Raw genomic sequence first — 14,971 nt, 5'->3', positions numbered from 1 at the left:
ATTGCACGGGAACTTGTACAGTATAAAGTGATGTAAAGTTTAAATGCCCATACATCAGACAATTTATTGTTTGGGCTAGCCTACAGGTGTGGTAAAAATGATAAGGAAATGATAAACTCAAAATTCAGGATAATGGCTACTTCTTAGAAAAGGATAAAGGGATGATATCAAGGAGGGAGGAGTACTTCAAAAGTATTGTTATATTCTATTGCACTGGGTAGCAGATGCTCAGATGTTGATCTCATTTATGCCTGAAGTCTTTGTTCTATGAATGTCTAAAATATATCCTAATGTTTTAAAAGGTAAAATGGCCAGGCACGGTAGCTCACACCTGTAATCCCAGCACTTCGGGAGGCTAAGGCGGGTGGGTCACTTGAGGTCAGGGGTTCGAGATCAGCCTGTCCAACATGGTGAAACCCCATCTCTACTAAAAATACAAAAATTATTGTATTTTTACAATACAATTGGGTGTGGTGGCATATGCCTGTAATCCCAGCTACTGGGGAGACTGAGGCAGGAGAATTGCTTGAACTTGGGAGGCAGAAGTTGCAGTGAGCCAAGATTGTACCACTGCACTCCAGCCTGGGCGACAGAGCAAGACTCTGTCTCAAAACAAATAAATAAAAATAAAAGGTAAAATGAGGACCTTAGACACCACTTATTCTCACATATACTCCAGGAAATTAAAGCTCACAATATTTTCCTTGACCCGTCTTCTTGGGACTTCAGATTAAAAGTCGGTATTCTGACTGTGAAGGGCTAACTTCCTACTATTGCATACCACCTCCCATTCAGATGTTATAGATGGAAGATACATTTTGATTATACAAGAAGCCCTAATATGCCATGAAAGACATATAAATCATAAAGATGCAAACACTATGCTTAAATTTAATCTCCCTAAAAGTTATAGTGTAGTTTTTGGAATTAACAGCAATTACAAATATAAGAGAACTATCTGAACAAAATTCCAGAGAAATTCCATTTCTAGGTAAGCTGAGATCTCTGGTCTTTTTTCCCCTGGGGATGTTGGATGAGTCTGGGCTGAAAAGGCAGAGTGAAAGCACCCATAGTTTCATGAAGCTTAGGAGACAACGTCCTGCTAGAGGGAGCAGGTGTCATTCTCAAGACATTTAAAACCAGAGGCAAACTGAATCTAACTAAAGCTACATCCCAGCTCTCATACAGCTCAATACTCTCTGCCTAACAAAGGAAACATGAACCCTCTCTGGTGGAAAATACCATCCACCTTAATTTCTAACGTTCTTTTATATACAATCCCCAGAAAATACATACAATGTCTAGGAAATGTGGCCAAAAAGCAGAAAGAAAAGCGGATTGTATAAGTAGACCCACAGACAATCAAGATGCACAGACAAGGGCTTTAAAATAACTATAAAAATATGTTAAAATGGAAAAATTTTAAAATACGTTAAAAATAGAGAATTATAATTTATAAAAAACGAAATGGAACAGAAAACAGTAGTTGCTGGGGGAAGGTGGAAGGGTTGACTACAAAGAGGAACAAATTTTGGGGGGAGATGTTTTATATCTTGTGTGGTTAAAAGTCACAGAATTGTACTCTGTCAGATGGATTTTGGATGTAAGTTATACTTCAATAAACCTGACAAATAATGGAAAAAAAGAATAGAATGAACATCTAGAGCTGGAAAAGTGAAATTAGGAAATTCTTTTTTTTTTTTTTTTTTTTGAGATGGAGTCTCGCTCTGTCACCCTGGCTGGAGTGCAGTGGTGCAATCTTGGCTCACTGCAAGCTCTGCCTCTGGGGTTCATGCCATTCTCCTGCCTCAGCCTTCCGAGTAGCTGGGACTACAGGCACCCGCCACCACGCCTGGCTAATTTTTTTTGTATTTTTAGTAGAGACAGGGTTTCACCATGTTAGCCAGGATGGTCTCGATCTCCTGACCTCGTAATCCACCTGCCTCAGCCTCCCAAAGTGCTGGGGTTACAGACATGAGCCACCACACCCAGCCAGGAAATTCTTAAATAAATTTGTAGTAAAGTACACATATCAGTCAATAGGAAATCAAACCAAAGCACAGAGAAAAAAAAAGGAATAGAAAAGAGTGATCAAAATGCAAGATATGTGTGGGGCACTGTCAAAATATCCAACTTATGTATCACTAGAGCTTCAAACAGAGAGGAGAGAGAATTGGACAGAAGTAATATTTGATGGGTGAAAATGTTCAAAACTGATAAATATATTAACTATAGATTCTAGATGTTTGGTGAACCCACAAGTAGGATAAATGTAAAGAAAGTTACACCTATACATCATAAGCAGACATCTGAACTCTAAAGATAAAGGACTTTGGGAGGTCAAGGCAGGCAGATCACTTGAGGTCAGGAGTTCGAGACCAGCCTGGCCAACATGGTGAAACCCTGTCTCTACTAAAAATACAGAAATTAGCCAGGCATGGTCGTGGGCACCTGTAATCCCAGCTACTTGGCCCAGCTTGGGTGACAGAGTATGATTCCATGTCCAAAAAAGAAAAAAAAAAAAAGAAAATTTGAAAGCACCTGGGTGATAAAGATACATTGCCTACAAAGAAGCAACAATAGGACTGCTGACTTTATAACAAAAATGATGGAAGCCAGGAGACAGTGGAATGGCATCTTAAAAGTAAAGGACAAAAAAAAAAAAAAAAAACCTACTGACATGGAATTCTATAAATTATTAAAATTCCCTAAAAACTAAAAGAGAAACACATATTCATACAAACAAAAATTGAGCAATATTTTGTTTTACCAGTAGACCAGCACTACAAGAAATTTTAAAGGAAGTTATTTGGTTTGCTGGAAAATGATCCCAGATGAAAGAAGTGAAGAGGGCTTGAAAGGGTAAATTATTGGCAAATATAAAAGAATATTGAGATTTAAAACAATAACAATGTCTTGTAAGGCTTATGCAAATGCAGAAGTAAAATATATTACAATAATAAGACAAAGTGAGAGGATAAATGAAGTAAAACTGGTGTGGATATTTTATTGCTGAGAAGTTGTAGAAAATGATAATTAAAGGTAGATGGTAATAAATCAAGGTTCTGTATTATAATTTCAAAAGAATAATAAAGTAGGGCAAAACTGAAATGCTAATAGATAAGATAAAATAGAGAAGGTAAAAGGGAATAACAAAATACTGGATTATTCAATGTATTTAATCAAATAATTAAATATTTAAGGACACACTTTTAAATAAGTCAGAAAAAATGAATTAAAAGAACAAATAGAAAAATAACAGAAAAATGATGGACTTACAACCATCTAGATCAGTATATTATAGATTGAAATAGCCATTTAAAATTTTAAAAGTAGACTGAATTACAAAAATTAGAATCAACTATATGTTGTTTACAAAATGCACAAAAAACCCACCTTAATTATAAGGAAACAGATTAAAAGTAAAAGGATGGAAAAAGATATGTAAGATATGTAAATTCTAATAAAAAGAAAGCTAATATGGCTATAGTAAAATCAGATTATTATGGCCTGACTTTGCTGCTGGGTCTGCTGTTCCCACCCCTTTAAAGCTGTTGGATGTCAAACATGCTACATAAGAACCAGAGGCCACAAGTAATTCAAACGTTTATTCCTCATTCAGGACTACACAAACTTATGAAGTGTGAAGAGTCCCTGGGTGAGGTAGCCCACCACCTGAAAGAAGTCTCTCTAATGTTTGGGTAGAGTGTGGGGGAGATAAGAGGGAAGAGAGAGAGATAGAGAGAGAGAAAGAGAGAGAGAGAGAGAGAGAGAGAGACCTGTGTGATGTAGCTAAAGCATTAATCTGAGGGAAATGTATAGCTTTAAATGCCTACGTAAAAAAAGAGAATTTGAAAAAATCAGTGATTTCAGTTTCCATCTCCAGAAGCTGGAAAAATAGTAACTTAAGTCCAATGTAAGTCAAAGGAAAAGTATAATAGAGCAGAAATCAATAAAATACAAAGCAGATAGCTGACAGAGAAAATCAACAGACAAAAAGTTAATACTTAGAAAAGGCTAAAAAAGAAAAAAGAGGTCAAACGCGATGGCTCACGTCTATAATTCTAGCATGGCAAAACCCTGTCTCTACAAAAAATACAAAAATTAGTTCGGTGTGGCGGTGCACTCCTGTAGTTGCAGCTACCCAGGAGGTTGAGGTGGGAGAATCATTTGACCCTGAGCGGTGGAGATTGCAGTGAGCTGAGATTGCGCAACTGCACTCCAGCCTGGGTGACAGAATGGTACCCTGTCTCAAAAAAAGAAAAAAAAAGACCAGGAAAAAAGAAGATAAATATGAATGATCAATATCATGAATGTAAAAGAGGACATCACAAAACATTATACAGAAATTAAAAACATAAAATATTATTTACAACTTTATGCCAATAATATTGACAACTTAGAGGAAATTGACAAAATTATTGAAAAATGCAACTTATCAAAATAGATACAAGAAGAATAGAAAATCTTTATAGTCTTATACCTACTGATGAAATGGAATCTATTATTTAAAATCTTCCTACTACATATTGTAGGATTCCATTTCTATGAAAGTCTAGAATAGGCAAATCTATAGAGACAGAAAGCAGATTAGTAGGTATCTAGATACCTGGGGGCTTTGGAGGAAAATGAGGAATGACTGTTAATGGGTGTGGAATTTCTTTTGGGGGTGGTGAAAACGTTTTAAAATTAATCATGGTAATGTTGCACAACTCTGTGAATTGACTAAAAGCTGTTGAACTCTATGCTTTAAATGGGCGAATTTTATGGTGAATTATATCTCAGTAAAGTTGGTTTTTAAAAAAATCTTCCTACAATGAAAATTTCAAGCTCAAGTGATTTCAGGGGTAAATTCCTCTAACTATCAAAGGAAGAAGTACACCAATCTACTCAAATTCATAAACTAGAGAAAGAGGGAACACTTCTAAACTTGCTTTAGGAAGTTAACATGACCTCAATATCAAAATTTACATTACAGTAAAAGAAAATTATAGGCCCATATCCTGAATAAACATAAGTATGAAAATGCTAAACAAAATGTCAGCAAATTGAATCTAGTGATATAGGAAAAGAATAGTACATCATCATCATATGGTGTTTATTTCAGGAAAGCTAAGTTGTTTTAGCACTTTAAAATCAATTTTTCAACTCATTGTATTAGTAGAATAAAGGAACAAAGCATATAGTAACTCAAACAGTTAATAAAATTCAGCATCCATTTATGGCAAAAATGCTAAACAAAATTGAAAGAGAAACATTCTCAATATGATAAGGCACATCTACAAAAAAACCAAAACCAAAACCCCACAGCTGTCACACTTAATGATATCCCCCTGAAGTTAGAAACAAGACAAGAATGATAATTATTCAACATTTTAGTGGTATTCCCTGCCAGTGTATTACTAAGCAATAAAGCTACCCACCAAAAACTATAAAATGTTGCTGGGATAAATTAAAGGAGCTCAAAAGAAGCAGAAAGGGCTGGACGCAGTGGCTCATGCCTGTAATCTCAGCACTTTGGGAGGCTGAGGCGGGCAGATCACGAGGTCAGGAGATCGAGGCCATCCTGGCTAACACGGTGAAACCCCGTCTCTACTAAAAATACAAAAAAAAAAAAAAATTAGCCAGGCGTGGTGGTGGGCGCCTGTAGTCCCAGCTACTCGGGAGGCTGAGGCAGGAGAATGGCGTGAACCCCAGAGGCGGAGCTTGCAGTGAGCCGAGATTGTGCCACTGCACTCCAACCTGGGTGACAGAGCGAGACTCTGTCTCAAAAAAAAAAAAAAAAAAAAAAAAAAAAAAAAAAAAAGCAGAAAGGATGCAATGCCATTCAGATGTATCTATAGAGATATGCAATTGCAACTTAAATCACTGCAGATATTTTTTGAGGAGAGTTGGCAATTGACAAACTGATTCTAAAATTTATATAGTATTTAATATAATAATTACATAAATGTAAAGATCCTAGAATAGCCCAGACCATCTTAAAGAACAAAGTTGGAACACTTAAACTGCCAAAAAATTAGTGTAAAACTTGGTAATTAAAACAGTGTGATAATGGCACAATGATAGATGGTAAACTGATGGAAGGAAAAAGAAATTTCATAAATAGACTACACATAGTCAATTGATTGATGACAAAGCTGCCAATTGCATTTCAGTGAGTAAAAGATTGTCTTTTCAATAAATTGTGCTGATGCCAATGGATATCTGTAGGGGGAGGGGGAAAACTAGACCCCTTACCTCAAAGTACACATAAAAATTAATTTGAGATGGATTCTAGACCTAATTGTGAAAGGTAAAAGACTCAAGATCCTAGAATAGTGGTTTTTAAATGTGGCCCCCAGAATCTCCGGGGTTTTCTGAAATCTTTTTCAGGAGTCCATAAGGTCAAAAGTATTTTTTATGCTAGTACTAAGATGTGGCATGCCTATACGTTGTGTTGATATTTGCGCTTACAGTGTAAAAGCAATGGTGGGTAAAACTGCTGGTCCTTTAGCATGAATCAAGGCAGCGGCATCATGACTGTCCTAATGATCATCATAAACTCATAGTAAAAAATAGTTCAGCTTAGAATGTCCTTGGTGGAGCAATAAAATGTATTAATTTTATTAAAACTTGACTCTTAAGTACATTTCCTTTTAATATTACCTTTAAACATTACATTAATGTTTTGTATTCTGGGACCACATGGAAAGCAAACATAAAATACTTCTGTTGCAAACCAAAGTATAACGGTTAGCTCAAGGGAAAGCACTAGGGCAATTGTTTGAATTGTGGGAGAAAATAGTGGCTTTTTTTCATAGAATACTGTTTCATAGATTGCTATTTTTAGTGGAAAGAATGGCTGGCTGGGCATGGTGGCTCACACCTGTAATCCCAGCACTTTGGAAGACCGATGTGGGTGGATCAAGTGTGGCCAGGAGTTCAAGACCAGCCTGGCCAACATGGCAAAACCTGTCTCTACTAAAAATACAAAAATTAGCTGGGGGGTGGCATGTACCTGCAGTCCCAGCTACTCAGGAGGCTGAGGCACACAAATCACCTGAACCCAGGAGGCAGAAGCTGCAGTGAGCAGAGATTGCACCACTGCACTCCAGCCTGGGTGACAGAGACAGACTCCGTCTCCAAAAAAAAAAAAAAAAAAAAAAGGGTGGCTAAAATCTATGATTATTTAGACTTGAATATTTGGCAGGCATTTTCTCAAAAATGAATGAAACGAGCCCATCACAGTATTTACCACTGTGAGCTTGACAGGTTCCCACTAAGACTTCTCCAATGAGATGAGTGGTGACATTAATGAATAGTGTATGTATTTATTAATAATTATATAATGAAATGTGTCAGTGTTTGGAAGGTTTTTATAATTCAGTGAACCAATATTTTCCAAATGGCCAAGGCATGCTGTTACAAAATCATGCATGAGTAAAAAAAATCCATTCAAGTGCAAAATAGACCAATGGATTTCAATGTAACACAACATGAAAAGTTTACTGATATGGTTTCAAATGCCATTGCAACTAATTTTGGGGAGCTACCATTTGTTGAGTTTTGGTATAGTATTGGAGAAAAATATCCACAATTATCTAAAAAGGCTACTAAAATGTTCTTCCCTTTTCAACTACATATTTTAGTTTGAGTTTAGATTTTCTTCATACACAGTCATGTGCTGTATGAGGACATTTTGCTCAATGACTGAATATACATGATGTTGGTTCCATGAGGGTATAATGGAGCTGAAAAGTTCTTATCGCCTAGTGACATGATAGCCATCACAACGCCCTAGCACAAGGCATTATTCATCTGTTTGTGGTGATGTTGGTGTGAACAAACTTACTGTGCTGCTAGTCACATACAAGTACAGCAATACAATTATATACAGTACTCAATACTTGATAATGATAATAAATGACTATATTACAGGTTTATGTATTTACTATACCATAGTTTTTTATTGTTATTTTAGAGTGTACCCCTTCTACTTATTTTTTAAAAAAAGTTAACTGTGAAACAGCCTCAGGCAGGTCCTTCAGGAGTTTTTCCAGAAGGCATTGTTGTCATAGGAGATGACAGCTCCCTGTGTGTTATTGCCCGTGGAGACCTCCAGTGGGACAAGATGGAGAGGCAGAAGACAGTGATATTGACCATCCTGACCCTAGGCTAATGTGTATGTTTGTGTCTTAGTTTTTTACAAAATGTTTAAAAAGTAAGAAAATAAAAAATGACACTTATTCAAATTCAAAAAAGAAAATAAAAAATAAAAAAGTTTAAAAATAGAAAAAAGTATAGAATAAAGATACAAAGAAAAATATTTTTGTACAACTTTACAATGTGTTTGTGTTTGAAGCTGTTATTACCAAAGAGTAAAAAAGTTAAAAAATTAAAGTTTAAAAGTAAAAATGTAATAGTAAGCTGTTTCATTTATTGAAGAAAAATTTTTTTTTAGAAAATAAATTTAGTGTAGCCTCAGTGTGCAGTGTTTATAAAGTCTAATGCAGAGTAATGTCCTATGCCTTCCCATTCACTGACCACTCACTCATTGACTCACCCAGAACAACTTCCAGTCCTGCAACTGTGTTCATGGTAAGTGCCCTATATATAGGTGTACCATTTTTTAATCTTTTATACCATATTTTTACTGTACCTTTTCTATGTTTACATATGTTTAGATACCCAAATACTTACCATTGTGTTACAATTGTCTATAGTATTCAGTACAGTAGCGTCCTGTACAGGTTTGTAGCCCAGGTGTGTAGTAGGCTATACCATGTAGGTGTAAGTACACTCCGTGATGTTGGCATAACAGCAAAAACCCCTAATGACACATTTTTCAGAATGTCTCACTATTGTTAAGTGACACTTGACGGTACTTCAAGCAAAACACACACTGCAGCAAAGTGAATGCAGAAACCCATATGGGAATTCAGCTATTGTCTATCAAGTCAGACATTAAACTGATTACAAAAATGTAAAACAGCATCAATCTTCTCAGAATTTTTGTTTGGGAAAATGTAGTTATTTCCATAAAATGTTATTTGTATTATGTAATAAGTTTATTATCTTTAAATGTATTAATAAATGTTTGTAAATTTTCTATTTTTATTTCTAATATGCTAAATATTGACAGATATAACCCACATAAACAAAAACTCTTTGGGTTCCTCAAAAATGTTTAGGAATATAAATGGATCCTTAGACTAAAGTTGAGAACTAGTATTTTAGAAGACACCACAGGAAATATCCAACCATAACCATATAAGAAAAAAATTGTTAGATTGGACTTCATTAAAATGCAGAATTTTTTTCATCAAGTCACAGATTGTCAAAGATTATATATATCAAAAAAGAAAATGACTCATAAGCTGATTTTCAGAATGGGCAAAGGACCTGAACAAATCTTTCACACAAATGGCTAAGAAGTCTATGAAAAGGGGCTCAACATCATTAATCATCATAGAAATGCAAAACAAAATACAATGAGATACCACTTCATTCTCATCCAGAGAGGCTAAACTGGAAAGAACTGACAAATGCCAAATGTTGGCAAAGATGTGGAACAATGGGAACTCTCACACAACGCTGATGAAAGTGTACATAGGTACAACCACTTTGGAAAACTGTTAGCATTATCCTTTAATGATATAGACATACCTACTCCATAACTTAGCAATTCTATAGTATAGTAAGTATATACTGTGGAAAAAAGTTCACCAAAAGACACGTATAAGAATGTTCATGGTTGCCCAGGCATGGTGGCGCATGCCTGTAATCCCAGCACTTTGGGAGCCTGAGGCAGATGGATCACCTGAGGCCAGGAGTTTGAGACCAGCCTGGCCAACATGATGAAAACCTGTCTCTATGAAAAATACAAAAAATTAGCTGGGTGTGGTGGCCGGCGCCTGTAATCCCAGTTATTCTGGGAGGCTGAGGCAGAATTCCTGGTGAGCAGAGGGAGCCATCTCCGGCCTCGGCCAGCCCCAGAGAGGGGCCCTGATAGCACAGCAGCGGGCTGAAGGGCTCCTCGAGTGCAGCCAGAGTGGACGCAGAGGCCGAGGAGGTGCCGAGAGTGAGCGAGGGCTGCTAGCACGTTGTCACCTCTCAGTCTCAAACTCCTGACCTCAAGTGATCCACTCACCTCGGCCTCCCAAGGTGCTGGGATTACAGGCTTGAGCCACTGCACCCAGCCGGAAGTTTGAATAGACGTTGGTTTTCTCTTAATAAATTTCCCCTGAGTAGGCAATATCTAAAAGTCATTTTACTGTCATTCCTTTTTTTTTTGAGACAAGTTCTAAAAAGAGGTCTCAAAGAGAGATCTTTCTGTCGCTGGAGTGCAGTGGTGTGATCATAACTTACTGCAACCACAATCTCCTGGGCTCAAGGGATATTCCTGCTTCAGCTATTCGTGTAGCTGGAACTACAGGTGTGCACCACTTTGCCCAGTTAATCAAAAAAATTTTTTGTAGAGACAGGGTCTCACTATGTTGCTCAGGCCGATCTTGAACTCCTGGCTCAAAAGATCCTCTCTCCTTAGCCTCCCAAAGTGCTGGAATTACAGGTGTGAACCAATGCACTGTCATTTTTTTTTTTTTTCTTTTTTTTTTTAAGACAGCGTCTCGCTCTGTCACCCAGCCTGGAGTGCAGCGGCGCGATCTCGGCTCACTGCAAGCTCCGCCTCCCAGGTTCACGCCATTCTCCTGCCTCAGCCTCCTGAGTAGCTGGGACTATAGGCGCCCGCCACCACGCCCGGCTAATTTTTTTGTATTTTTAGTAGAGATGGGGTTTCACCGTGTTAGTCAGGATGGTCTAGATCTCCTAACCTCCTGATCCGCCTGCCTCGGCCTCCCAAAGTGCTGGGATTACAGGCGTGAGCCACCGCGCCCGGCCCACTGTCATTCTTTAGAAGAGGAAAAGGCATGGCACTATTTTGTGTGTTGTTCCCCTGTTACCTGGCTGTGACTTTGGGAAAGTGGCATAACTTCTTTGTGTCTTTTTGCTTCTCATTCTTACCTGTTTATTGTTGTTATTACCTGTCCTGCATACTTCACAGGGCTGTTGTTAAGGACAAATGAGGTTTTAAATGTATTTTCCATAACCGTCCTCATTTCCGCCTCTCCTGCATGTGAGACTGAAATGCAGTCTCCACTAGAATATATTTAGTTGATCAGGGTCAACAGCTCCTTTGCCCGTTTCCTCCTGTGAGAAATTAAGGAGATGATGCTTATTTGCTTCCTAGATAAGTTCAGAAGTCAGGTAGGTTGGTTAACTAGTATCAGTACTTAATTTTTCACATGATCAAATAAGCTACAGATTTTGGGGAAGATACTAACATCCAGCTTTTAACTAAGTTTCTGCTGTGTGGGTCTGGTTGGTGGTGTTTTCTTACACTGCTTAATCACATTCAGATCTGTGGTTTGGAAAAAGGCTTCAGCCTGACTGTAGTTGTGTAGAACTTACTGGTTTGGGAAGTTTCTGGGAATTCATGGTTTAATTAGGTTATATCCCCCCCACCTTTTTTTTAAATGCTGCCATGAAGCGATGTGCAAATTCACTTTAAATATTTTTATTTTTTATTTTTTTGGGACAGAGTCTCGCTCTATTGTCCAGGCTGTAGTGCAGTGGTGCGATCTCAGCTCTCTGCAACCTCCACCTCCTGGGTTCAAGCGATTCTCCTGCCTCAGCCTCCTGAGTAGCTGGTATTACAGGCACGCACCATCACACGAGCTAATTATATATTTTTAGTAGGGACAGGGTTTCATCATGTTGGCCAGGCTGGGCTCAAACTCCTGACCTCAAGTGATCTGGCCCCCTCGGCCTCCCAAAGTGCTGGGATTACAGCTTTAAGCCACTGTGCCTGGCCCACTTTAAATATATTTTTTAAAAAGCCCAACTGACAGCTTAGTACAGGAGGTGAAACAGGAGTACGTTAGCATGTCAGAGTTCCAAACCAAGTCCTATTGCTTTTTTTGTCTTATTTCTGGACAAACTTAGAAACATTTATCACCATTATCATTATACCCTAAATGAGGAAATATGATTTTCCAGTTCAGTGCAGGTAGTTCCTTTGTCTAAAATTTTTCTTTTTCTTTTCTTTTCTTTTTTTTTTTTTGAGACAGAGTCTCCCTCTGTTGCCAGGCTGGGGTGCAGTGGCACAGTAGTACGATCTCGGCTCACTGCCTCCTCCGTCTCCTAGGTTCAAGCAATTCCCCTGCCTCAGCCTCCCGAGAAGCTGGGATTACAGGCACCTGCCACCACGCCTGGCTAATTTTTTTGTATTTTTAGTAGAGACAGGGTTTCACCATATTATCCAGGATGGTCTTGATCTCCTGATCTTGTGATCCGCTTGCCTCAGCCTCCCAAAGTGTTGGGATTACAGGCGTGAGCCACTGTGCCCAGCCTAAAATTTTTCTTTAAAATGTTTTGGGGAAGAAAATTTAAAGTAGCTGGGATGAAACTACTACCTTATAGGAGAAGACAGCTGGGCCCAGAGACCAAGAACAAAGATGGTTTGACCACTGAGGGAGCTGGAGATTCTGCCTGATCCATGAGGCCAGCACAGATTGGTTTTGGAGGCAGCTTTGGAGAACTTTTAGACTCTTGACAACTTTTTGAGTTTTTGAATGTTTTTTAACCTCTAATTTTCTTTTTTTGTAGAGACAGGATCTTGCTATGTTGTCCAGGCTGGTTTCAAACTCCTGGCCTCTGGTGGTCCTCCTGCCTTGGCCTCCGCAAATGCTGGAATTATAGGCATGAGCCAATGCACTGGGCTACTGAAAGTTTTTTAGAAAATAAATAACCACACTACATTCCTGTGCTTTCTCTCCATTTTAAGTTTCGTTTTTGAAACAACAGGCTCCCAGTAGTAACCTGATGCTTTATGCTGCACGTTTTAATTTAAAATGAATCTTTGGGTCTACAGTGCTTTGCCAAGTGCAATCATTGAATTTATAAAAAGGACTTTGGTTCTTACGTTTACAAGCTTAGAACCTGAAGCAATAGTCCTTATATAAATCCAGCTGTTCCAGTTTAGAGAGCCAAAATGCTTCACAGCCGTGGTTTTATTGATTGGCTTTCCTAAGGCACAATGTGTTTCATTGTTACTCAGGTTTATATATCAGGCATATGTCTTCCGTATTTTGGAAAATGCTTTTCTTTTTGTTAAATTTTTGTATTTTTTTCGAGATGGAGCCTCGCTCTGTCCCCTAGGCTGGAGTGCAGTGGTGCTATCTCAGCTGATTGCAACCTACGCCTCCTGGGTTCAAGAGATTCTCCTGCCTCAGCCTCCCTAGTAGCTGGAATTACAGATGCACGCCACCACACCTGGCTATTTTTATTTTTTTTGTATTTTTGGTAAAGACAAGGTTTCGCCATGTTGGCCAAGCTGGGCTTGAACTACTGACCTCAGGTGATCCACTTGCCTCGACCTCCCAAAGTACTGGGATTATAGGTGTGGGCCACTGTGCCGGGCCATACCTTTTTTATATTTTTAGTAGAGATGGGGTTTTGTCATGTTGGCCAGGCTGGTCTTGAACTCCTGCCCTCAAGTGATCCACCCGCCTTGACCTCCCAAAGTGCTGGGATTACAGATGTGAGCCACTGCATCCAGCTGAATGTTGGCTGTTTTAATGACCAGTTATGCCAAACTTAATGTTCTATAAATAGAAATTGGAAGGTAGGAATTGAGGACATAAGTTTCCAATAGTAAGATCTCACTAAGAGGGCAGACTGAAAGCTTCAGTCCCATACTTGTCCTCTAGCAGAGTGAGGTTGTTGCAACCTCTTAGGAAGAGTTAGGCAGAGGAGCTGTTTTTATTTCTTCAGGGATGGAATAAAATCATCCCCACTCCAATTATCCTTCTCTCTAGATCTCTGTTTTCTGCTGAGATTAAAACTGGGACTTTCATTTTTCTTATGAAAAATTTGAGGTCATCAGTTATATCACCTTATTTTTCTGACTTCTCCCCTTTTACCTAGGAATGACAGTTATTCACCTCCTCTGGGCAGGACAGGCCAGGCTGTAGGCGTCCGACAGGCTGTAAGCTTCCCTGTTAGTCCCAACATGATATTTTAAAATTCTGCCTGTAGTAAGTAGTCTCTGTAGTCTCAGCTCAGTGGACCCCAAGGCTTGCTTTCTTTTTGCTTTCAGTTTACTTGAAAACAAGATCAAACCTATCACACCAAAAGTTTTTCCTCCTCCTTTAGTCCCCCGTCCCCAATCCATTTTATAGACACTGAAACGGCCTTCTGCAGGCTCCACGCATCATCTGTGTCATCAACACTACTACCCAATGCTTTTCATGAAGTTAAGTAGTTTTCTTTTCCTTCTAGCTTACTTCTTAACTTCCATTACTCAAAGCAGCTATCTTTCCCTGTTTGTCCCAATCCAGTCTCATTTACCTTCTTGTTTAAAGACACCTTCCACATTCATAGCTTTTAGGGATGGTTCAGGCTAAAATCATACCTGTTCCCTTCCCCCTTAGACTTTCAGAAATCACTAACTGCTTGAGCGTGACCTTCGAATTGGTCTCCATTCAAGGTCTTCCACGTTTACATTATTCTTGCCGCATCTCAGTTTTCCTTTTCCTGAATGTTCCATCCACATAATTATTATAAGGTTCTAGCCTTTGAAAGTCAACTTGAAATTCTCAGACACATTTGGAGGAATCTCAGCAAGAAGCCTATTTCTTCAAAGTCACCCTTCCCTGAGAACCAGCATCCTTCTCTGATACCAGAGCCCAAGCAGAGTCACCCTAATTACTTTATTTCTGTGTTTGGTTTTGTGGTAGAACTGGGAACCATAGACAGAGAAAGCCTGAACCTCCCTAAAGAGGTCTCTTAGGGAGGCCTCCAGAACCAAATATGCTCTCGAGGAATTCAGCTGTGAGAGAGATGCTATCAGCAATTAGGGCTTTACATCTAAGCATAAACATTGCTGACAATTACTTGGATTTTTTTTCTGTTCTGCACATAATGATAA

General features: G+C 38.7%; 1 protein-coding gene across 1 annotated transcript in view, besides 1 other annotated feature; it reads right to left on the bottom strand.

Annotated features, from left to right (window-relative positions):
• Positions 9,473-9,973: an enhancer, noted in NCBI's record as "H3K4me1 hESC enhancer chr3:113356851-113357351 (GRCh37/hg19 assembly coordinates)". NCBI's record gives its function as "activates a minimal SCP1, AML or CMV promoter by ChIP-STARR-seq in primed H9 embryonic stem cells {active_cell/tissue: H9 hESC(primed)}" and the evidence as "EXISTENCE:reporter gene assay evidence [ECO:0000049][PMID:30033119]".
• Positions 10,866-14,971, bottom strand: part of SIDT1 (SID1 transmembrane family member 1) — a 104,557-nt gene continuing 100,451 nt past the window's right edge. The window contains exon 26 of the mRNA XM_047448376.1: positions 10,866-11,190. Coding sequence (XP_047304332.1) covers positions 11,140-11,190 — 51 coding nt within the window. The 3' untranslated portion in view covers positions 10,866-11,139. The remainder of the gene's footprint in view (positions 11,191-14,971) is intronic.

Source organism: Homo sapiens, chromosome 3, assembly GCF_000001405.40.
Source record: "Homo sapiens chromosome 3, GRCh38.p14 Primary Assembly".
NCBI lineage: Eukaryota > Metazoa > Chordata > Mammalia > Primates > Hominidae > Homo > Homo sapiens.
Note: the sequence above shows the minus strand (reverse complement) of the source record. Positions and strands in the feature narration are given on the sequence as shown.